The 25,745-nt window shown below is 41.8% G+C and overlaps 1 long non-coding RNA gene across 1 annotated transcript; it reads left to right on the top strand.

Moving 5' to 3' along the window:
* Positions 1-7,631: 7,631 nt before the first annotated feature.
* LOC105378318 (uncharacterized) lies at positions 7,632-25,414 on the top strand. Its single transcript, XR_945990.3, has 3 exons — positions 7,632-8,127; positions 24,003-24,102; positions 25,376-25,414. It is a non-coding gene; the product is annotated as an uncharacterized LOC105378318 (long non-coding RNA).
* The last annotated feature ends 331 nt before the right edge of the window (positions 25,415-25,745 follow it).

Below are 25,745 nucleotides of genomic sequence, written 5' to 3' on the forward strand. Positions count from 1 at the left end.
CACTAAAAATACAAAAATTAGCCAGGTGTGTTGGCACATGCCTATAGACCCAGCTACTTGGGTCTACTTGGGTCTATTCAAGCAATGAGAATTGCTTGAACCCAGGAGACAGAGGTTGCAGTGAGCTGATTGCACCATTGCTGTCTAGACTGGGTGACACAGTGAGACCCTGTCTCAAAAAAAAAAAAAAAAAAGAATAAATTACCTTTAATAAAGAACGAGTTTTGAAGTATATGAAAAATTCACTTTAATTTTATATGCTTGGAACTTTTGAAAGGGATCAGCATTTTGTGGACTTACAGTGTAACAGGGATAAGATTTACCCTCTCATATGAAACAACAAAGAAACTAGACAAAAAATAAGAAACCGTGGTTCTCATGACATTCAATATCAGGCAACAAAAGATAGTGATCCCTGAGAGATGGTAAACAAGAGATGAGCTTACGATTCCCCCAGCTTACTGCCTGGGAAAAGTTTTCAGGCCATTGAACAGCAAGGGAGATTCAGGCAGAGCCAGACAATGTCCATGAGTTGGGAAGAATGAACTAGGTCTGAGAAGATAAAGGCAGCTAGAGTTTGCAAGCCTTAGGCAAGACAAAAGAGAGAGACACAAAGAACTCTGAATATTTGAAGAGATTTCTCTCAAGTATTCAGTTGAGTACTGATCAGCACATATATGTGGGATCAGAGAAAGAACCACCCAACGGGACTGGAGGAAATAATCACTGGCACTTACATAAGGCCGGGAATGGTGGCTATTTCTAATATCCAGGGTAGAAAATCTCATAGTCCATGGAGCACTGGGCATTGTGCTCAAAAGTATGCTTCCTCAGTTATGAACTCTAAAATAAATGCTGGTCTGGTTCTACCTAAAAGTCTTAAAAAGCAATACATGAACAGATCAAACTATTTTCGACTAACTTAACTATATCCTAGAACTTACAAATTCACAAAGTCTGCAGCCGATAAGAAATTACCATGCATGCAAAGAAGAAGAAAAATATGACCCAAAATGATGAAAAAATTAATCAGAAGTCACCCAGAAATGACACAAATTATAGAAATAACAGACAGGAACATTAAAACTCCTATTAGAATGCTATTTCATATATTCAAGAAGCTAAAGAAAAGACTGAAAAACTGAAATAGAGATATAGAAGATATAACAAAAGGTCCAAATCAAACATCTAGAGATGAAAACTATGATGTCTGAGATAAATACACTGGATGTTTAAGGGCAAACTAGAAATTGCAGGAAAAAAACTGAAAGATGTAGCAATATAACCTACTCAAAATGAAACACAAACACACATACACACAAATACTGGGAAAAAAATGAACAGAGGATTAATGAGCTATGGGAAAGCTAAAAGCCACCTAATATACATCTAATTGGAGTCCCCAAAGGAGGAGAGGAAACAAAAACATAGATATATTTGAAATAATGAACTGAAATTTCTTCCAAATTTGATTTAAAACTCCAAACCCACAGATTGAAAAAGCTGAATGAAGCACAAGCAAAAGAAACCTGCAGGAAATTATACCAAGGCACATTATAGTCAAACTGCTGAAAACCAGAACCCTTTAGACACTAACAACCACACTTCTAACTAACCTGTAGGTGAGATGAAAACTAAAAAAGAAATTATGAAGTATTTTGAACAGAATGAAAGTGGAAATACAACAGATTCACAATTTATAGACTAAAGACCAATATTAGAAAAGACAAAAGGTCTCAGGTCAATGAATCGGTTTTCACCTTAAAAACTAGTAAAAGCAAATAAACAGAAGAAAGAAAATAACAGATATCAGAACAGAAATCAACAAAATAGTAAACAATCACAATAGAAAAAGAATGAAATCAAAATTTTGTTCTCTGGGATCAATAAAACTGTTAAATGTCTAGTCAAAGTGATCAGGAAAAAACAGAAAAGACAAATTACAACAGAAACAGGAGAGGTGACATCACTTCAGACTCTGCAGATATTAAGAGAATAATAAAGGAATATTATAAATAGTTGTATGTCATTAAATTTGACAATGTAAATGAAATCTATAGGCTTTTTGAAAGAAAAATTACCTAAGGTGACCCAAGAATTAGATTAGTGAATTGCTCTATAACCATTAAGGAAATTGAATTTGCAGTTAAAAAAACATTTAATTAAGAAAACTATAGGCCCCAGATGTCTCCACTGGTAAATTCCATCAAACATTTAAGGGAGAGATAATACTAATTTTACACAAACTCTTCCAGAAAATTGCAGAGGAGGGAACATGTCTCAATTCATTCTATAAGGATACCATTATTCTAATACCAAACCAGACAAAGACATTACAAGAAAGAAAACTACAATCCAGAATCTCTCTTGAACATAGATTGCAAACATTCTTAACAAAATGTCAGCAGATCATACTTTAGTGTAGTTAGCATGGAAATTAATCAGTGTAAATCGTCACATAAGTCTGAAAAATGAAAAACCATACGAGCACTTCAATAGCAGCACAAAAGCATTTAACAAAATCCAACATCCATTCTTCACTAAAACTTTTAGCAAACTGGAAAAAGAAAGGAACTTCCTCAATCCTGCCATTTGTAACAACATGTATGAACCTGGGAGACATTATGCTAAGTGAAGCAAGTCAGACACAGAAAGACAAATACTGTATGATCTCACTTATATGTGGAATCTAAAATAGTCAAAACTCATGAAAGCAGAAGGTAGAATGGCAGTTGACAAAGGTTGTGAGGAGGAGAAAATGAGGAGGTGATGGCTAAAGGGTACAAATTTCATCATGTATAAGTTCATCCAGAACTTATACAAGATAAATAAGTTCTGGAGACCTACTATATAGTATAGTGCCTATAGTTCACAGTGTGGTCTTGTATACTTAAAATTGCTAAGATGTAAATCTTATATTGAATGTTCTTATCAAAAACCAAAAAAGAAAAAAGAAAGATAAAAAAGAAGGAAGGAAGGAAGGAAGAAAGGAAGGAAGGAAGGAAGGGAGGAAAGAAGGAAGGAGAAAGAAAGAGAGAGAGAGAGAAAGAGAGAAAGAGAGAGAGAGAGAGAAAGAAAGAAAGAAAGCCCTCAACCTGGTAAAGAACATTTATGAAAACCCTACAGCTAATATCATACTTAATGGTGAAAGACCAGATGTTTTCCCTCTAAAATTTAAGAGAAGACAAGAATGTCCACTCTCACTGCTTCTATTCAATACCATGTTAGAGATTCCAGCCAACACAATAAGGTGAGAAAAGGCAATACAAGGCATCAACATTGAAAATGAAAAGATGAAATTCTCTTTACTCACTAATATATCATTTTCTACGGAGAAAAAATCTGGTGCACTCTGCAAAAACCTTGCTAGGACTAATAAGTAAATTTAACAATTTTGAAGGCTACAAGGTCAGTGTACAAGTATCAACTGTATATGCTAACAATCTAAAATTGAAATTTAAAAATTATCATTTAAAATAGCATCAAAAAATGTAATCCTTAGGAATAAATCGGACAAAGAATGTGCAAGATCTTATCCTGAAAACTTAAAAATTATTGCCAAAATGAAAGCAACCTAAATAAATTGAGAGATACACTAATCTATAGTGACAGAAAGCAGGTCAGTGTGGGAGAGGGATCAAAAGAAGTGGGAGAGAAATTACAAAGGGGCTAAAGGAAATAGTTTGAGATAACGTTTATGTTTATTATCTTGAGTATATAATAGTTTCTCAGGTGCAAATATTTGTTAACACTTATACTTTACATATAGACACCTCTTTGTATATAAATTATACTACAATAAAACCTTTTTAAAAGATCAGTTCAGAGTATACCACTAACTCAAAATGATTATGTTTAGAAATTGGTTAAATTCCATATAGTACTACTAAAAATTGAGTCAACATGTTGCTTATAACTAGAGGAGGTAAAAACCACAAGGTTATTTTTCCTTTTGGCACATTTCTCATCTTATTCCATTTCTATGTTCAGTCTTATTTCTTAATCTTAAGAGAAATCAAATAACAGCAACAGATATAATTAAAATAAAAACAAAGAAGTGTGAAGGGGATTACTTAGATGGGCGAAGCAGAATCTTGGCACTATTTGGCTAAGAATGTTGTGTATGAAGCATTATTTAGTCAGAGGGGAATGGTTGCTTTGTCTCTATCCCCTCAAAGGACAAGAAAGCAATCTTCACAAAAGTGAAATGTAAAGAAAAAAGTTGCATGAAAGTGATGGCTTTGAATGGTGGAATGGGTGCTCATGAGAGCAATTTATTTGTACACAGATGAAACACCTGGTACTCATGGAGAAAAGAGGGATGAACAATCTGACTCAGGCTTCCTTTAGCCTTCCAGATCTTACTTCTTGTGTCTTTATAGTCATGCACTGCAGGTGTATAGCTTTCCCACATTTTTTCATTATCAACCAAGAAACCCAATCTGAGTACATTGGCTTTTTATTTTTGGCAAGGCAGATGACTCAACCTCTGGAGAATGCTCCCCTGGCAAATCACTCAGGCAATCCCCAATCCACTTGCTGATTGCTCTCATCACAGGAGACCTAGAACAATTTCCTGAGCTGGGGGAGGAGTGGGCAGGTGAAGGGGATTAGATGGCTATGACTGATGCTGCTTTCTCACTGGTCAATGGGGTGGAGTGGAGGACTTGGGGACTCTGGAGATTTCAGCCACACTTTCTAGGGATCCCTGTTGCATCCTATAAAATAAAATGACATGTCACTCTGCATCTCTGGTCACTTCCCTAAAATGTGCCTCAAAACCATCTACTACAGAGGCCCTAAGTTTTTCTTTCCTTAAACAATCCACCACTGCATAAAATGTATGCTTTATTCACGTGGCTTATCATCCATGCCCTCATCATCTGTGTGATAACATTAGCTAGGTGAGGACATATCCTCACTTCTCTCAGTGGTTATTGCATTTCCTGTTAAGTCCTGGATCATTACATTTCCTAATTGATTGCTACCCCATCTTTGAAGCTGCAGCTGCTATTTTAAAATCCCACCACAAAACTGTTTCAGTTACTTTAATTTTTGAAGATTCTCATGATGATGTCAGAGAAGCATTGATTTAGGAATCCATAATTACTACCACCAGTGGGTCAAAAGACTTGGAGTCCACTGTTATGAAAGGAGAAGAATCGGCGTAGTCACTCATCCCTATGTAAGTAAATAGAAACCTTGGAGAAAACAAACCAAAAAGCCTCAATTCCATCACTTACTGCTCTTTTCCTTCCTAAACCTTACATATGCCTGTTAGCAGACAAAGCAGGCTTTTACCAAAAATGATATCTATACGAATAAACAAGGTCAGCAATCAACTAGCTGTACTTACCAAGTAGAGTCTAGTATAGGAATACTGTCCAATGTGGCACTGGCCAGATCCCCAACTTCTGCTCTGAGAGATCACCTAATCCTTTAAAGAACAGCTGGTTGTCCAGAGAATTTTGGACAATAGAACAATCTTAGAAATCATCGTGGGGCTTGACAAGACTAAGAACAATTTTTCTTTTGTTTGAGCAAAATTTACAGCTGATACTGAACATGTGGTATGAAGAAATGCACCCCCCTCACCTCGAAAAGGGGTGAATCTGATCAGTCAGGAAATTTAGAAGGCTGAGAATATGAGGTGTCTAGGTAGCAGCCTGGCCTGGGTACATCAGCAAATATCTATGTCTCTTGGTGGCTCCCCTTTCTTCACTTAAAGGTCAGGTCAGGCAGGAAAAAATCTTTTCATTCTCAAGTACGATGGGTTTCTGAGAAGACAATAGAACATTGACTTTGGTTGGCCTTAGTTGGAAAGGGGCAGATTATGCAACATTATGATAGAATTTTTGCTTTGTTCCCAAGCATAGAGCCTTTTCAGGTTTTTCTAAACCTCAATTTTAATACTATCAATTGTGGGAAACTAAGTCGAACTAATTCACTTTTCCTACGTGTCCTAAAGAGGAAGGAGGCCAGATGACAGTTGTTTTCTATTAATAGGACTTATGCTTAAATGGGTTAATAATATTGAAATGGGAGAGCTCCCTGGCCTCCTTGCAGGACATGCAATGTGGGTGTGGCTTTCTGTTAGGCCACCTCAGGCTCAAACCCCTTATGGAGCAGGTGCAGGAACTGGGGCAAGTGCTTTTAGGCTCCAGCCCCATGGCAGTGTCTGAGGGTGGGTGTCTGTGACTCCCAACACCCAAGCGGGTGCATGTTACAGTGTGCACCTTTAGCCTTGCTGTCCACAGATGGCTTAAGTGTTAACCAGCTCAATGGACCCTCTGCCTTTTTTCAAGGGCAGAGGGCCAGGTGTGACAGCTTTCTGTAACCCAAGCTCTTGTCCAGGGTCCCAAAAGAATCAGGTCACACATGGACTTGAAGGATGAATGCAGAGTTTTATTGAGTGGTGGAGGTGACTCTCAACAGGATGGATAGGGAACTGGAATGGAGATGGAGTGGGAAGATGATCTTCCCCTGGAGTTGGGCCATCTTAGCAGCCGAACTCCTCTCTGACCACCCCCAGCCAAACTCCTCTCAGCATACAGACTCTCCTTCTCTTCTCTCTTTCTCTGCCACACCATTCTGCCATTTGTCTGCTTGTCTCCTCATCTCCTCATATCCTCATCTGCTTCTGGAGCCTGGGGTTTGGGGCTTATATGGATGGGGTTACAGGATGGGGGCGTGGTGGGCCAAAGGCAACTTTTGCGCAAAAAAACAGGAATTCCTGTCCTCATTTAGGGCTAGGATATCCAGGCTTGAGGGTAGGGCCTTTGCCAAGGAACTGTCCTCTTCTACCCAGTATTTCCCTGTCTCCTGTCCATATCAATATTACTTTATTTTAAAAGAAAACTTAGCAAGAAGCATTCTTGGGTGTTTTATTGTAGGAATGTGAAGCCTATGAAAGAAGTAACTGGGTGAGATCTGGGGTGGGTGTGAGTGTTGGATTTTGACAGAAGTAAGGCTAGGAAAGCTTCTAAAGGGTGTTGTGTTGAGTTTCCAGTAAAAGTGGTAGCAGGAAAAGGAGAAGTAGGGGCACCCAGTCTCCCCTTCCTCCTTCCCCCATTTTCCTCCAAGTGCCATAAAAATGGCTGTCACTGAATCATCCACAAAATCCCCCTAAACTGACTCTGGGTGGAGTAGTAAGCAGATGGTAGAGGGGGTATGGGAGCTGCAGTCAGTAAGGAAGAGGAGGGAAGTCGTGGTTCCTATTAAGAGTTGTAGCTTAAGTAAGATATGAGCTGGTCAGAGACAGCTATAATTGGATTCTATATACGAAGTGATGTCACTTCTCAGTTCCTTAAATCTTTAGCCATAATGGCCAATGAGGTTGACTGTGTCCCTATTCATTCTATTTTAATATAAGATTGCCAAGAAGTAAGTTGGAAACATTCAGGAGGTATTTAACACTAAGCCAACTTAGGCCCTCAAAGAAATGATTAGAGTTTAAAAAACAAAAACCTAGTTGACCAGCTGCCTCCTCTCTTAAAAAAATACCTGAACTTCCCGAAATGGTGATCTTCACATGTTCCATGATGGGCACAAACATCGCCTGAACAGTTTGTTTCCATTTGTTTCAGAGATGTTTACAAATGCTCATTAAAACATTTTTAAGACATCTTCTTTAAAATACTTATCAGATTATTCCAACATCTGTGTTGTCTCAGTAGTGTCATCTGTTGATTTCCTTCTCTCATTCCAGTTGAGAGTTTCCTGGCTCTTGGTATGATGGGTGGTTTTTTATCCTATTCTGAACATTTGGGGTGTTACATTATGAGGCTCTAGATCTTATGTAAATTTTTTGTTTTAGCTGGCCTGTGCTGAAACTGGACTGGTGGTGGAAGCCGGGCACTAACTCTTTATCACTGGAAGGAAGTGGAAGTCCAGACTCCCCAGCAGCCTCCATTGGTACCACCATGGCAGGGAGCGGGGAGCTATTCATTACCAGCAGATGAGGGTTAGAAGTTCATGCTCCCTGGATAGTCTCCACTAAACTGAAGGAAGGCATTCAAGGAAGGGCAGCTCATCGCCACAGGGCGGAGGTAGAAATCCAGGCTGCCTACTTGACTTCCTGGGAGACCACCTCAGCATGGATGGAAAAGAGCACCTCATCACCTCCAGGTGAGGATGGAAGTCTAGGTTTTCAACCTATGCTTCTCAGCCTTTTCTACAAGGTAAAGGTATGACATGGATTCTTCCCTGGTATTTTGTTGGAGTAGATTATTTGTTGTCAAAATTTTAAAAAGAATATTGCATACATGATGTCCAGGAGTTTAGCTATAGTTAGTGATTAGTCCCTAACCAATCTACCTTCTTCTCTCCACCTTTCAGAGACTTTTTATGTTTGTTTTATGTATAATGTCTGGGTTTTTACCTGCATTTTATAGGAAGGCTAGGGAGAAATGCATTAAGTTCATTTGTCTAGAACTGGAAGTCCTACAGTTTGTCTGCTAAAATGTAAATTCCTGCCCACAACCCATCTAGGAAATTCTGTTTCCATTACATCAGCATGAAGCCCAGGAAACACTGAAGAAGTCAAGCACAGAAAAAAGGAAGAGGACACTGGTTAAGCTCCATAAATACAATAAACTGAATAATATGGTTATAAAAATGACCATAATAATAAGAATCTGTTTTCAAATGATTGTCACATTCCATTCTCTTTGGCCCTTATGCCATTTACAGAAGAACCCAAGGTAGTGATATGACTTCTCCAAAGTCACACTGATAATCAACAGAAGAAAACAGAATCCAATTTGATTTCTGGCTTTTTGTTTTTGGCCTGCCTTAGCTCTGGAATTCTTCTGTGTTTATAGTCAGCTTCAGCCCTCCAAATTTTGTTAGGACATTGGTTCTCAACCTAACCACATTACTAGGGATCTTTAAAAAATGCTTATACCTGAGACCACCCCACCCCTCACCCTCTCCTTCTCGGAAATTCCCATCTCGGGTCTAGGTTATGGCCGGAGCATCAGTATTTTACTTATTATCCCTAGATAATTTCAGTGTGCAGCCAAGAATGAGACCACTGTTTGTGTTTTTTTTTCTTCCTCAAGTAATTAATTGTAACCTTTCTCCTTTAAAGAAAAACACTAATTTTTTGCTAATAGCAATAAGGAGAAACAGCTGGAGCTAAAATATTGCGTCCAGGCCCCCTTTTGGCTAAGCCTTTGTCACAATTGTGTAGATGCTAAGCTGTCATGGCAAGTCATGTCTCAACAGCATTTAAGAGGATGAAAACATTCAGATGGCATTAAAAGAAGACACGGAAACAAGGGAGTGATAATGAATTGGCTCCCTAGTTTGCTACAAAGTGAATGTAGCTAGCCATCAAGACAGGGGTGGGAGTGACAGCAGCCAGAGCTGGATCACCTTTGCATCTTCCCATGTTTTCACTGGATGGATATTTCCACTGAGATTCCCAAATTAATATTTGTAAGTTATAAAAACAAGAAGACAGCAGCAATCAGGAGCACAATACTGACCCCAAGTGGAATAAAATCTAAACAGTACTTCAAGTCCCTGCAGAGGTGGGAGCTACAGGTTCTGATGGAAGAAAAACACCATCAGCTGGACAAAGCTGTTGAGTTTTAAAGATGCTTGGAAGAAACAAATGTGTTGATTTCTTTATCGGTAATAAGTTTTGATATAGAAGATAGTGAAGATAGTGGTGATTCATGAGGGACTATTTACTTTCAGGTGAATGTCCCACAAGTTAATTGTATACATAAATTTCTAATTATCAGTGTTTATGGGTATGCAGATAAGGTTAATAATCTTAAGGTAAATATAATCTGAAGCTTTTTCTGAAAAAAAAAAAAGCAAATTCTGAGAAAACTCTCAATAATCTTACCTAAGTGGAAATTAAATATATATATAATATATATATAATATATACTCTATATATATATAGTAATTTGGCTTCTCAAAGCTTTGAAACTCATCTCTGGGTTCAGTGTTTATGAGTAGATATTGAAGAGCAGAGAAAGGCAAGTGCTCTGAAAGAGAAGATGGGATTAGGGGTTACTAAGACAAATATTGAAGGCTGCAAGCCCAACTCGGGGGCTTTTCCATCTCCTTCTTTGGTTACCCAAATGTGTTCACTTACCTGAGTGTGTTAAGAGGGGGATGGAAATTGTGGAGGAGACTTAGAAAGTAATTAAATAAACTTGTAACATCACTCTAGAAGGCTCTCTCTTGTTCTCTGCATCAGGTTTAGCTCAGCCTATGGCTTTGTGCCCATCTCTTGGGAAACACTCTATGGCCAATGAACTCCCCAAAAATCCTTCTGGTGAAAGATGCTGTCTTTATTTGTTACCTTAAGGCCTCTTGAGTCCACAATATGGGGGGCAGGGGTGGAGAACCTCAGCCATAATAGACTATCAATGAAGAGGATGTCAACCAGTATTATTTGCAGAAATACAAAAGGCATACAGGTTAAAATAGGTGTGACTAAGGCCCTCAATGAGAATAGATTGTTGCTATGCACTCTCCTCATCCAGAAGTTAAATATCTTCATCAGTCTTGATCAAAAATGTAACATATTATTTTTAAAAGGACAAAGTTTTCTACAAAATACATGAAACAAAACCAGAAACTAGATTGGAAAATATTGTCTCTTCCAACACTCTGCCAAGTCTCTGCCCCAGACCAGTGACATATGAATCTCTGGGGAGCTGGGACAATGTCTCCCAAGTGTTCTTGATGATGAGAATTGCCTGGGTCCTTGCTACATCTAGAAACTCCCAGTCCCCCAGGCCATATCTCAGACCCAGTGTTGAATCTCCAGGGCTTGGGAGTCTGTACATTTCACATTGCCCAGCTGGTCCAGAGCGGGAGGTAGACCTTTACAAAATAATTATATAAATATATGGTGCTGTGACAAAAAGTGAATAAGGAGCTATGTGAGCACCTAACTTAGGCTGAGGAATCCAGAAGACTTCTCAGGAAAAGCCCCTTTTGAATGCTGATGTAAAGATGAGTAAGAGTTAATTAGGTATGGTGAGGGCAAGGGGAGAAGGTAAATGTATATTTCAAGGATACAGGAAAAAGTGTGAGCAGGCTCTGGGAGCTTAGAGTCTAATAGCAGAAGTAGAACATGTACTCCAAACACTGGGAAACAGGGTCATATATTTTAAGTGCCATGGGGTAGGAAAAAATACAAAATGCAATAAAAATCTGGAGTCAGAATTGTGATTGGGAAAGTGCGGGGGTGGGACTGTAGAAGGACTCAGAGAATTTCTGTCCTCAGAGATGTAGACTTTCCGAGTAGAAGGCTGAGAATAGGCAGAGATGACAAGGGAATAGCAGGACTGTCTGTGAGCTGGCAGCAGTACAGGGCAGTGCAGGGAAGACGGCAGAGAGAATGGTGACCTATGGGGGCAGATCCCAGAGAGACTTGAGTGACAAGCTTAGGATTTTTGTTTTTCTTTCCTATTTTTTCTTCTCCTGAGCCCTGCATTGTTTTGAAATTCCATTTCTAGTCTAACCCTTGGAATAGTTTCACCTATTATCAATATTCCTACTTAAAATCTTCTCATCCTTTCAGTCTTTAATACTTCCATTTTATAATCATTTGAAAATACTCAGCTATGACACACCTCTCTCCAACCATCTTAAGTTTCCCAGGAAATAAGGAATTACAGATAGGCTATGTAGGTCTCTGTGCACCCAAATAAAAGCAGTAGTACAAAGCTTTTACTGGTTATTTTCCATTATTCTTTGTATTTAACTTAGCTTAAATTAACTATGATTTTATTTTCAAATTAGTGTTCTCAAAGGAAAATATATTAGATTGAGGCTTTTCATTTGGAAAACCATAATATTCTCATTACCATTTCAATGTCCGTTTGGTTATTAAAAGTGATAATTCATGCTGATGGGCAGCAGCCCTGAATGAAGGCCAATAATGAGAGAGGAGAGCATTCTTCAGGCTGCTAGGCCTCAGCTGCTAACCTCATCTACCCTCGCCACAGTGAGGGTCTGTCATCTCATAGTGCCTGGAATGGTCATGCAGATGCAGTCAAAGATATCCATGGCATGGTGCCGCTTACAATATATTTTATGATTTCAATGTGTCTCTTGTTGTAGTTTAATTTAAATGGAATGAATGACTACTGGCTTGAAGCCATACTGATTCTTCTGGCTCTTTTATATCAAAAACAGCTTCACTCAGGAAATGGGATTTGGTTTAGGTACCCATAGGGAATTTTCTGTGGTCTGAATGTGTCCTTTAAAATGTGTGTAAAGGACACAAATTGGAACTGTAATCTCCAGTGCAGCCATGTTGGAAGGTAGGGCCCTTGGGGCAAGTGTTTGGGTGAAGGCTCTGCCCTCATTAATGGATTAGTGCCTTATAAAAGGGATTGATGGAGGCAGTTCTTCTCTTTTTTTGCCCTTCCACTTTCCGCCATGTGAGGATGCAGCAAAAAGACCCTCACCAGATGCCACTGCCTTAATTTTGAACTTCTCACCCTCCAGAACTCTGAGAAGTAAACTTCTGGTCATTATAAATTACCCAGTCTGTGGTATTATGTCATAGCACAAGTGGGCTAAGATACAGTCTAAAGAAACTTAAAAAATAACCAATGACTGAGGTGGATCTTAGGACCAGCCCCCGCTCTGGTCCTCTCCAGGGCCGCTTGTTCTCTCAGGGTGTCTCTGCTTCTCTCTGTAGATATGCTCTCCCTTCACTCTCTCCCCTCCAGCCTTTGCTGCTCACTAAATCTTCTTGCATCTCAGTCTTGCTCAGAGCCCATCCTGGCCACAACCCTCTTTAGAATCCTCTTAAATTCCAACTCCCACTGTTGAAGGACCCAACGTCTTTCTTCCAGATACAAATTCTTAAGAAAGTATGTGATTGGCTCAGCTTATCCCAGTGTACTGAAGTAGTGAATGCCCACACAAGGTGGTATTCAAATTATTATAGTTAGCAATTAGCTCTGCACTTACACAGAAAAATCAGAATCAAAGCTGCCTGAGGCCTGCACCAGGGTCCTCTAAACCCCTTAGTCTCACAGGGGTTAACTCTTTAATTCCTGGAAAGTTGAGAAGAGAGATGGGCTTAGACAGCCAGTTCAGTGGGAGGGTACCAGGAAGGCTTAGGGTAGCCATCATTTTCAATAGAGAAATACTCCATTATTTTAATTACCAATATGGCCGTACTGGTATGGACCATTGAAAACTCTGAATCACTGAGGGTAGGGAGGCACAGGGCCATGAAATACACAATATGACCACCATAGACAGTGGTCTGGTTTTAACAGGCATTTGAGACTCAACCTGTCCAATACCTATGGGTATATTTGAAAAAGTTATGAACCTTGAGGACAGTAAGAACTTAAGGTTTTAGTTTTCATTAAACTCCCTCATAGAACTATTCATGTTCTCCTACACTAAGGGGACTGAATCAATTCAGTGTCATCTGACCAGTGAGTGAGGGCTCCCCTGGGTAGGAGACCAGGTGTTGCATATATCCAGCTATGGGGCTTTGGACGCAAGGTTTTTAGCTTCCACAACTTACAAGTGATGAGCTTGTATTGGACAGACGCTGCAATCCCTTTGCCACTTCAGATTCCTCTTGTGTTTATGGGGGATTATTTTAAGATTTGTGAGCAAAGGTACAGGCCGTGCCAGCTTCAGGAAGGAGGAGGAAAGGCAGAAATGCAACTTTATTTGGATAAATTCAGCACAGCAATGAAGTACATAGGCTCTAGGATCCAATCCTGACTCAACCAATTGTAGCTGGCATAACCTTGAACAAATTATTCAGTCTCTCTGCCTCCATTTTTTCATCTGTAAATGGGAATAATGAAAAGACTTCACAGTGTTGTTATAAAGACAAATAAGACAGTCCATGTAAAGTATTTAAATCAGTGCCTAGCACACAGCAGGCACTCAATTAAATATTAAACAATATTATCATTAGAAGTCACCCCAGGAAACTTCTATTCATTACCTCATTTAAATATTTAAGTATTTAAAAGATAAATATACTTAAATATTTAAATGAGGTAATTAACCACACAAGATACTGTTTTTATTAATTTCATATTATCCATGAGAAAAACTGAGGCTGGGAGAGATATTTTAATTCACCTAGGTAAAAGGTTGATCAGCTTTTCTCATAAAGGGCCAGACAGTAAACATTTTGGGCTTGGCAGTCTGTATAGTCTCTGACGTAAGTACTCAATTCTGCCATTATAGCTGAAAATAGCCACAGACAATAGTAAATGAATGGACAGAGCTCTGATTCAATAAAATTGTATTTATAAAAGCAGGCTGGCTGGCCCTTGGCAAGCAGCCATCATTTGTCAACCCCTGGCTAAAATCATACAAACAATTGGCAGTTAGGATTTGAACTCAAGAGAATCAATCTATCCACTACACCAGAGATTTTCTAGTTCTTCTTTTGGTAAAAACTTTTTTTACAATGAAACTTTATGAAGAACCCAGGGTATAAATTAGAGCCACTTAACACAGACTTCTCTTAACCATCACAACTACTTTCCTTGAATAAGTCTGTGGTTTTCAAACCATACGGGTTTGATACAAATGCAGATCTGGGCTAGGCATGGTGACTCACGCCTGTAATCCCAGCACTTTGGGAGGCCAAAACAGTTGGATTGCTTGAGCCCAGGAGTTCAAGAACAGCCTGGGCAACATGGTGAAATCCCATCTCTACAAAAAAAAGAATACAAAAACTAGCCAGGCATGGTGATCCACGCCTGCAGTCTCAGCTACTCAGGAGGTTGAGATAGGAGGATCAATTGAGCCTGAGAAGCTGAGGCTGTAATGAGCCGTGATCATGCCACTGCACTTCAGCCTGGGTGACAAACAAAGCAAGACCGTGTCTCAAAGAAAGAAAAGAAAAATGTAGATCTGGAGATCCCTACTTCCATGAGCCCAGGTTCAGATGGCCTGGAACAGTGTCAAGTGATGTATATTGTTTACAAGCTCCCAGGGGATTCTGACCCAGGGAGTCCTCAGACCACTCTTTGAGAAACATGGATATAAGGATATTCCATTAAATGTGAAAAAATTTAATTATCCAAGCTGGTTTCATTGAAGATAGAAGAACAAAATAACAGGTATCAAGACATAGAACCTGAGTTTCAACACTGACTTCACAGTTTTGCCTTGGATTTGAGACAGGGATTAATCTATTTTGGTATAATCGGTGTCATTGCCTAAAAGCCCGTTAGGTGCTTTGAAACACAATGAGCCACTCCTACTATGTCATAGATTCCCTTGGCACCAGATCTTATTAATATGAAGTACACGTTGAATCTTTCCTTAACTCTGCTATGAATCTAACAAGAAGCTACAACAGTCGTACAAGAATTCCCTCAAGACATTAGGTTGGAAGATTGGTGATAGGAAATTACTCCAGTAGCTTCATTGAAAAGAACTCTGACAAGCTCTGACACATGTCCAGAGAGTAAAGGCAATATCGAGTTATAGGACAAAGAGGTATCAAAAGAGTGTCTGCTCCAAGCAGCCAGGGACAGCTCAGTACAAGGAGGGCTCAAACAGGACACCCAGCGGGCAGATGCCTGAGAAGCTTGGGCTGTTACCTAGTTACATTTCTAGAAGAATACTTTTAGCTGAACAAAGCACAGGCAATTAAATGTTCAATATCATTGTAAGTGCTGAAATGTCCTCATAAAACTTGAAGATCTGTGCTTTCTGAGTCCACAGAGAACAGTCTGCACTTTTCTGGGCTATAAACTTGGCCTACAGGGAGAGCTAGTAAGAAGGGTCTGCCTTTTTTTTTTTTTTTTGGCTGGACTCCTTCTTCCTTGGCTTCTCTGAGGCCACCTTCAGGAGACATTTGGATGTCCATATCTGGCTTGTCCCCAGGCAACTGGAACTGCTAAAAACAGACCCACTAAATAACCACTCCCCACATAACTAAAAGCTAGAAACAGCATGAGGTCCCTGCCTGTGAGGGTCTCCAAACATTTCCTTCTACCTTAGAAAAGCTTCCTCCCAGTCTTGCTAAAGCTTAAAGGGGCACAGCTCCATAAACACTCTGTCAAAGGCTCTTGCTTTTCCTGAGAAGCTGACAATCTGGCCCCCTTTTAGGGCTGCTTCAGGAGATAAAATAGAGAACCCACCAGCCTCAAAGTTGGAATAAAACAATAATGGCAGCAGTTACAATTTATTGAAGGCCTATACTATGTGTCAGACTATTTGCTAAGCACTTATCTATACTAACTCATTTACTTTCACCACAACTTTAGGAGGTTGTTTTATATAGGTTCTTGCCACTCAAAATCTGGTCCAGGACTAGAAGCATAGGCCTCATTGGGAGCTTGCCAGAGCTGCAGTCATGGGCCCCACCCAAACCTACGAAACCAGATTCAGCATTTTTAACAGGCACTCCAGTTAATGTTTGTGCATATTCAGTTGGAGAAGCACTGACTCAGTTCACAAATGAATAGCTGAATCATCTTCCTTCCTTACTACCTTCCTTAATCTTCAGGTAAGCACTGGTTTTCTTACCTGAAAAAAAATGGAGTTACCAATAATCACTTCCACTTGCTGAGCACACTGCCATGCGCACACACATTGCCACTCATCCTCACAACAGCCCTGAAATGCTGGCAGATTCCCATGTTGCAAACCAAAACCAAGGCCACAAGCAGTCAAACAGCTTCCCCTTGCAGAGTTAGAAAGCAGCAGCCTTCTCTGCATGTCTAAAAGATAATGCCTTTTCCTCTCCACCATGCCACCTCTCTCAGATGATCCTTGAGATCACTCAGCTCTTGGCCAACATCTGGGTTGACCCAATGGCTTAGTCAATGGACATATTAACCAGCGATGTTCCCTAACCTCTCTCCAGTCAGCTCCAAACAGTCCCTTGTTCTTGCTCAGCTCCCTCCTCTCTCAGCACATCTCATTTGTCCAGCCCCAAGAGGGCTTGGGCTCTTCAGACCTCAGATCAGCAGCCTGCTCATTACCAGACCTGCTGCGTGCTTTCCCAAGTGCTTCACCATGACTAGCTCATGATGACTAGCTCACCATGGATCATTGGTCCCCACTGATTCCCAATAACATCTGTTCTTCTTTAGGTCAAGACCCAGCCTCACTTCAAAACTCACTAGGAATGGACCTCCCTTTTCTTTTCCCCTTTTAGAGCCCAGAGTAGTCATAGAGTAGTCTCTCATTAATATATTAATAGACTGTCAGAGCTAGCCCAGTACAATTTATCACTACACCTGATTCATTTTAGTGAGGGAGACACTAACATCTGAAGCTCCATCGTGCATCATCCTGACCAACCTTTCATTTTACAGTGGGACAGTTCGAGATCCAAAAGGCAGAAGTCCATTTTCTTTCTTCTCTTGGTCGGAAGAGCTTTGTAATGGTTGCCCTAAGTCTCTTTGATGCAGGGCAGGTGAGCCCCAGAATTGGTGCTTAGTCCAGGAGGGTTCTTAGCTTTGCCCAGGGAAGAAGTTGAGCATGAGCAGGTGGTGTTAGACAGCAATATTTTATCAAATGGTAAAATTTGCTCCTTGTGGAGCAGGACTAACTCATAGACCATGCACAGAGTCAGCAGGGTATGGGCTCTTGGCAACTGTATTTATGCTCACTTATACCCACTTTCAATTACACACAAATTAAGGGGCAGGTTAATGCAAACTGAAGGATGGGCTATTCAGAACTTTCTTTTTTGGGGGGAAGAGAGAGGGAATGGTGTTTTGCTCTTGTCACTCAGGCTGGAGTGCAATGGCACAATCTTAGCTCACTGCAACCTCCGCCTCCTGGGCTCAAGCGATTCTCCTGCCTCAGCCTCCTGAGTAGCTGAGATTACAGGTGTCTGCCACCACGCATGGCTAATTTTTGTTCACCATGTTGATTACACTGCTCTTGAACTCCTGGCCTCAAGTGAGCCGCCTGCCTAGGCCTCCCAAAGTGCTAGGATTACAGGCGTGAGCCACCACGCCCAGCCAGGTTACTTAGAACTTTCTAGGAAACGGGTGATAACTTCTGGGTCATGGCCATGGAAAGGGGTGGTAACTTCCAGGTCGTTGCCATGGCATTTGTAAACTGTCATGGCACTTGTGGGAGTGTCTTATGTGAATGAACAATGAGAACAGCCAGGAATGGCTTTTGTCACCATCTATTGGTTCCTGCCGGTTTCTTCATTTCATCTCATCAGGACCAGGAAATAAGTCATTCCAGTCCCCAGCCTCATCTTGAAATGAAATTTTAGCTCATCCTCTTATATCCTGAAGTGTTATCATTAGTTGTTGATTCGTTATTTACATACAACAACAGCAACAAAAAATTTTGATGTGTCCTATTTCTCTAGTAAGCCCAGTAAAATTATAAGGGCTTAAAGAGCAGACAAAATAGAAGATAGAGAAATAGACAGAAGAAAAATGAAAGGAAGAAAGGAGAAAATACAGGTAGAATTGTGCATTTGTTTTCATCAGCTCAGAAAGGGTGACATCAATTAAAATTCTTCCATAGTAGTAGTAAAAATAACTACCATTGATTGTAAATATACTAGGCATTAGGCACTCCTAAACATTCTCCAGCTATGACTTTATCGAATTCTTACAATTCCATGGATCAGGTACAGTTATCAGCCCCAAAAAGAGGAAAGTGATTCAACCTAGTGGTTGAACAATTAACTAAAGTTAGTATGTGATAGGACATATCTAAACCCTAGACAAAAGCCTACCCTCTTCAACCTGACACTACAGGCACCAGGAATTTTCTCTCCCTTCACTACAAACTTCCATAGGTACCTAGGAATATCAGCTTTAACATGACCTTACTGGCCCTGAAACCCAGAAATAGCAGTGAGATTGTAAATGGAAGAGCTTTAGTTAGGGATAGCTTGGCCAAAAAGGCAACATTCTATCTTCTCTTGGATTCCTGTGCGGCTGCGGATGCTTCAGAAACAGATGTTGAACACTGCTTAACTTCTGCCCTTCCCCCGCTAGAAAAACAGAAGGTTCTCTAGTTTCACATTAGCTGATTTCCCATTATGTAGACTGTCTGAGCCATCTTCATTCAATTTATTGCTACATTAGTCCCAAACCTGGCAATGGAAAATACATTAACTTTTAATAACACGCCTTTGATGACTCGTAGAAATCGGTTTCTGCCAGCTCCTTCTTCCATTTATCCTTGTGGATCAGGGAGCAGTGGGGAAAATGGCAAATTAAACCTAATGTCATTCTACAGCTGAGAGAAAGAAAGGAACTTTGAGTTCATGGGACAACTTAAAAAATATAACTAGTGCTTAATCATCTGCTGGAAGCATATGGTAATAAGAAGTAACTTGTGGTGGGGTGCAGTGGCTCACGCCTGTAATCCCAGCACTTTGGGAGGTACTGCACATACCTTTACTCAAAATCCTGACAAAGGCACAACTAACAACAGGGTAAAAAGAACGTTACTTAGGAAATCTCTGGAGCTACATTTCCTGATCACAGCCCTGCTTTCCAAGGTGGGAAGCAATTTAGGTTTTATGTACTGCTATAATAGACCCGAAATTAATTCAGCATCTAATCACAACAAAAGCCTTGAGAATCAATCCAATTTTAGTCAACATCATTATCATCACCATCAACAAATGTTTCTTGAGCATCTAGGACACTAGATGCTGGGAATACAAAGAAGCCAGAACTCCTCTTTCTGCTCTGAGGGGGATTCAACAGAGAGAAAAGGAACAACGCATATTAGAATTCACTCAAAAGGTATTATAAAAGATGGCTGACTAGAGGCATCTGGAACTTGCCTTCTCCACAAATAAGAATCAAAACAGCAAGTAGATAATCATACACCAAATAGATCATCTGAGAACACTGGAATTCAACAGGGGAATGACAGGAAACACCTAAAGCAAGGGAGGAGAGGGAGGCAAGGCAGCCTGCTCGGCTGGATGAGCTGGGAGCGAGGAGAGGCTCCCCAACATGGAGAAAGGTGAGTGAGTGACCCCAAAGGTCCACTGTCCCACCATAGACTCTGCAAGCCACGGACAGTCCCTTGACTCTCATGGACCAAGACTAACATAGGGAGCTGCCTGGAAACCATGAGACAGCATTGCCCCAGAGAGGGAACTCACTCTGGGTCCCACACACACTGTGAGCCTTAAGCAGCCACAGCAAGGTGCCATATCGAGAGCCCAATCTCAACCAGATTGCACCTTGCCCTTGGACCCAACAGCCCCTGCATCTTGAAATCCCTGAAACCTACCCAGAGCCCCCTTCACAGCTGGCTTCTGCTTCCAGAGCTGAAGCCATAAGCAAAGACTCTACTACACCCAGCAGTGAAGCCACAGCATATCTCCATGTACTCCAAGGACAATTCACCTGCCTGTAGGACTGCCACAACCAGGGCACTAGCAAAGTGCATGCTCCCCAGCCGTCTCCATATGGCTGCTGCTGCTGCTGAAAGCAACCCCCCGCCTCCCCAGTAGCAGGGCTGCAGTGAAGCCACTGACTCCCCCACCAGAGAATTCTACCTTGGGCCTGAGGATCACACTGTCCCTGCCTACCACAGTTTGTACACACCATCAGGGGCCCTTAAGACAGTTTTCCCTGGCCCAACAATGTCTTCTCAGTGATCAAGCACTCTGTCCATGGGCCTGGTGATGACCCAGCCCAATTCAATACTGTTGGCACCTGAACACCCCTCCCAGGGGCCTGAGGTCAGGTCCACTCAAACTGCCACGACCACCACAGTGGGCACCCACAAGCACATGCTACCTGCAGACCTGGGGACAAGCCCACTCAGCCCATTGCAGCCACTGCCAAAACTAGCATGAACCGCTTGGGACCCAGAGGTTACTCCCACCACTGTTACTGCCATTGCCCATGTCACACTGGCTGCCCAGGGCCTAAGGACCCACCCACCCACTGAACCCACCACTGCCACTACTGGCACCCAAGCAAGCCACTTGGAGACCTATGAATCAACCCACCTGGACCCGCTAACACCTGTGCTAGCATACGCTGCCCTGGGTCCAAAGGACAGGCACTCTGAGCCTACTGCTGCCAACACTGGGGCCCAAGGACTTTCCCACCTGGTGTCCTGGTCCCAGGCAAAACTTTACTGCAGTCTGCATGAACAACTGTACACTAAGCTACTAAAGAAGTCACAAACACCACTGATGTTCTTTATAGCCAAAGAAATCATAAGAAGACTCCACTGCTGCACACATCCAGAATCAGAGCCAAGTGCCCTACCCCCAACCAACACCACAGGAAAAAGCCCTCCTCTACAAAAACAAATTCAAATAATTGAAAGAAGTGACTGTAACACCAGATATGCAGATATCAATGTAAGGAAAGAAGAAACATGAAAAAGCAAGGAAATATGATGCCTCCGAAGAAACATAATGATTTCCCAGCAACAGATTTCAATCCCAGATAAATCCCAGATAAATAATTCAAAATGATGATATTAAAGAAACTCAGTGAGATACAAGAGAATAACAGAAAAATAATACAAAGGAATCAGAAAAACAATTCATATTGTGAATGAGAAATCTATCAAAGAGATAGATATTATAAAAAAATAACCAAACAGAAATTCTAGAACTGAAGAATTTATTAAGTGATATAAAACACATTCAAAAGAAGGGGCTTCAAGAACGCTGACTAGAAGCATTTCATGCTCACCTTCTCTACTTTGAAAAGAGCCAAAATAATGTATAGACAAGCACACTTTATTCAAGAGAGAACACCAGAATTCAACAGAAAAGTGACAGGAAATACCAAAAGTAAAGAAGCATAAGAAAGAGTGGCAGCCTTATTGGGCGGGATCAGCTGCGAGTGACTTCTCAATGCTGGGAAGGTGGAAATGAGAGACTTCTAGCGGCCCACATCCTCACTATTGAACCATGCAATCCTGGCCACAGGAGATCCCCTCAACCTGCCACCCCAAGCCCTGAAACTAACACAGGGAGCTGCCTGAAGACGGTGGGATGGAACCACTCCAAGGAGGCAGCTTCTGCTGAGACCCACACACTTTCCTAGACCTAAGCAGCTACAGCAAGATGCCTGTTTCTAACCTAGCCTTTGGAAGACTGCATGCTCTCCTGGATCCCGGCAGCACTGGAACAGAAGCATTAGGAAAACTTGGGCTGTTGTTGCTGAGACTGGGACATGAGCTGGGAGAGTGCTTTCATAGCCAGGGTTGAGAAATGAGTGAGGCATGGGCTGTGGCTGCCAGTGCTGAAAAGTGAACACCACCAACACTGAGATTAGTACGCAGTGGGCATGAGTCGCCACTTGGACCTAGTTGCAAGCTGGGCAGGGACTCCTATCACCAGAGCTGAGGTGAGAGCTAGGGGGAAGGTACTGCCACCAGGGCTGGGGCGTGAGCCTCACCAGGACTGGGACATGAGAGGGATGCACACTCCCCACCCACTAGCCCAAGCTGTGGCCACCAAGGGTTGTCCAGCACTCTCCCGTGGCAGGGTCTCAGTGCAGCTGCTATCACCCTTCGCCCAAGCACTTCACCAGGATACTAAGAGACTTGCCCCTGCCAACCATGGCTGGTACCTGCTTTCACCTTTGGGAAGCCTGAGCACATGCCATCCCAGCACAGCTTAGCCATGCCATCTAAAACAGCATATAGCTGGGGGTCCTAGGGATTGCCCAACCAGTCTACCACTTTGGGCACCTTAGCACTCACCCTGGAAGCCTGAGGTTGAGCCTGAACTCCTGGCTGCTACCACATCAGCTGACACCTACCTGCAAGCACCGCCTGTGGTACTGGGGACTGGCCTACCCACCTCATCACAGACACCGCCAACATCAATGCATGCTGCTGGAGACCCAGAGAACATCCCACCACTGCTACTGCCATTGCCCATACCACACCAGCTGCCCAGGGGCCTGAGAACTCACACACCTGCCTGGGGCACTGCTGCCACTACTGGCATCTGAGCAAGCACTTGGAGGCTTGAGAATCAGCCCGCTGGTGACTGCCAATACAGGTGCCAGCACACCCCACCCTGGGACACAAAGATAGGAACATTCAACCCACTGCTGCCAGCAATGGGGCCTGGAGACTGGCCCACCTGGCATCCCAGTCCCCAGCACAACTTCATCACAGCCTCCATAAATAACCACACCCTAACCCACCAAGGAAATTACAGACACCACTAACATTGTTTACAGCCAAAGAAATCATATAAAGACTGTACTACTGCACACACCCAGAATCAAAGCCAAAGCGCCCTACCCAACCAACACTATAGACATGTCTGCAGGAAAAATTTCTTCTCTACGAAGGTAAATTCAAAAATAGAAAGAAATGACTGTTAGACCAGATGCACAGAATATCAACATAAGGACACAAGAAACATGAAAAAGGAAGGAAAAATGGTACCTCCAAAGGAACACAATAATGATACTGCCATAAATCTTAATCAAAAAGAAATTTTATTTTCTTTCCTTTTTTTTTTTTTTTTTTGAGACAGGGTCTCGCTCTGTCACCAAGCCTGGAGTACAGTGGTATGATCATGGTTCACAGCAGGCTCAACCTCCCCAGGCTCAGTTGTTTCTCCCACCTCAGCCTCCTAAGTAGCTGAGACTACAGGCATATGCCACCACGCCCAGCTAATTTTTGTATGTTTTGTAGAGATGGGGTTTCACCATGTTGCCCAGGCTTGTCTCAAACTCTCTGGGCTCAAGCGATCCACCCACCTCAGCTTCCCAAAGTGTTGGGATTATAAAAGTGAGCCACTGCCTGGTCGAGATATTTTTAAATAATCCATTCAGACAAAAATAGAGAAAAAAGAATGAACAATGGCTATAGTTAACAACAGTGTATTGTATATTATATATTTCAAAATATCAAGAAGAGAGGATTTGAAATGTTCCCAACCCAGAAATGATAAGTACTCAAAGTGATGGATACCCCAAACACCCTGAGTGGATCACTACACAGTTTATGCTTGTAACAAAATATCACATGTACCCTGTAAATGTGTACAAATATTTGTATCAGTTTTTTTTTTAAAGGTATTATGGGAGATAGGCTGGGACAGAGAAGGAAAGCCAGGAAGAAGAGACAGCATGAGCAAAAGCATGAAGATCAGAATTCAAAGAGGATGCTGCTAAGGTAAGAAGGATCATCTGTCTGTAGCACAGCGTTCGTGCCAGGGTTGGTATACAGAGGCCTGGAAGATGTTAAGAGACTATGATACTTCATCCTTTGGCACTAGGGAATCACTGAAGGTTCTAGAGTAGGAGAGTGATTTATGCAGAGTGCACTTAGGAAGATCTGCAGTGGGCTTGTGCAGCATGAGACCAGGAGAACTTAGTGTAAGAGGTACTCATTTGGAAATGGTCCCTGGGATAGGTAAGGCAGATACCTATCCCAGATACAGACTTGAGGGTGGCCCATGGGAATGTGAAATAAAGGCCCACTATAGATACCAACAAAAATAAGATGTCCACAATTCCTTTCTATGTGCCTCTAAAATTATCTGTAACTTCCTACTTATCTTTCTACCAGTGACAATAAGACAACAGAAAGACCAGGTTGAAACCCTTCATTTTTCTCTCACTGATCCTATACTTTCAAACAACTTTCCTTTGATTTTGCTTTCCCTTAGTGTAATTTTTCAAATTTTTATGTTTTACCATATTTGAAAAGAGGCCTTGTTTTAAACAATCCCATTTTAATAAGATATCTTCCTAAAGGAGACTTTAGGAAGGCTGTTTATTAAGTTGATATTATCAACCAAATGTGCAGTTCTCTAAACAAAGATGATGATTAATGCAAAAGCAACTACAGGCAATTGAGGTTGGTTTGCTGCCTGGGGCTTTATTCTTTTAACTAGCACTGGAATAACTCTCGTCTCTGAAGGCCAATTACCTCCTCCAAACAATGGCAAAGCCAAATCCATTTAGTTTGGACATCCCCAAGTTATGAATGGGTTGTGTTCTAGAACATGAATTTGTCATTTGAGAGTCAGGCCAAACTTTCCCACAGAGGAAAAAAATGATCCATAGAACAAGCAGTGTAATGGCTCTGCAACAGGCACTTCTAAACCTTTCATGTGGATTATTCCATTTATTCTTCACCACAAATTTTATAAAGTTGGCATGATTATTATTGCTGTTTTTGTGAGGGGGAAACTGGGATGCAGAGTGTAAATATCTTCCCTCAGATTATACAAGTAAGAAATGTCAGCACCAATGGACCCGTGCTCTTGTTTGTTTGTGAGATGGGGTCTCCTTATGTCAACCAGGCTGGAGTGCAGTGGCATGATCCTAGTTCACTGTAGCTTTGACCTCCTGGACTCAAGCAATCCTCCCATTTGTCTCCCAAGTAGCTGAGACCACAGGCGCATGCCACCACACCCCGCTAATTTTTTTTTTTTTTGTAGAAACTACAGACAGAGTCTTGCTATGTTGCCCAGTCTGGTCTCAAACTCCTGGCCTGAAGCAATCCTACCTTGACCTCCCAAAGTGCTGGGATTACAGGTATTAGCCACCACACCCAACCCATGCTCTTAACCAGTGTTTGATCCTGCCTTCTCTGGGGAGTAGGAAGTTTCTAAGTAGGGCCATGCATAGGGTGAGGCAGGCTGAAGCACTTGCCTGGGTGCAGAATTGCAAGCGGCTGCAAAAACACACAAATAAACACAAACCAATTTGGTAGGCCAGCCCCAGTCAGCCTTTTAAGTCTGCAGTGAAGCTTCCCTAACCTCCTCTCACACCACAGGGCTTGGTCAGCCTGGGCCATTCAACATACCC

This window comes from Homo sapiens, chromosome 10 (genome assembly GCF_000001405.40).
Source record: "Homo sapiens chromosome 10, GRCh38.p14 Primary Assembly".
Lineage (NCBI taxonomy): Eukaryota > Metazoa > Chordata > Mammalia > Primates > Hominidae > Homo > Homo sapiens.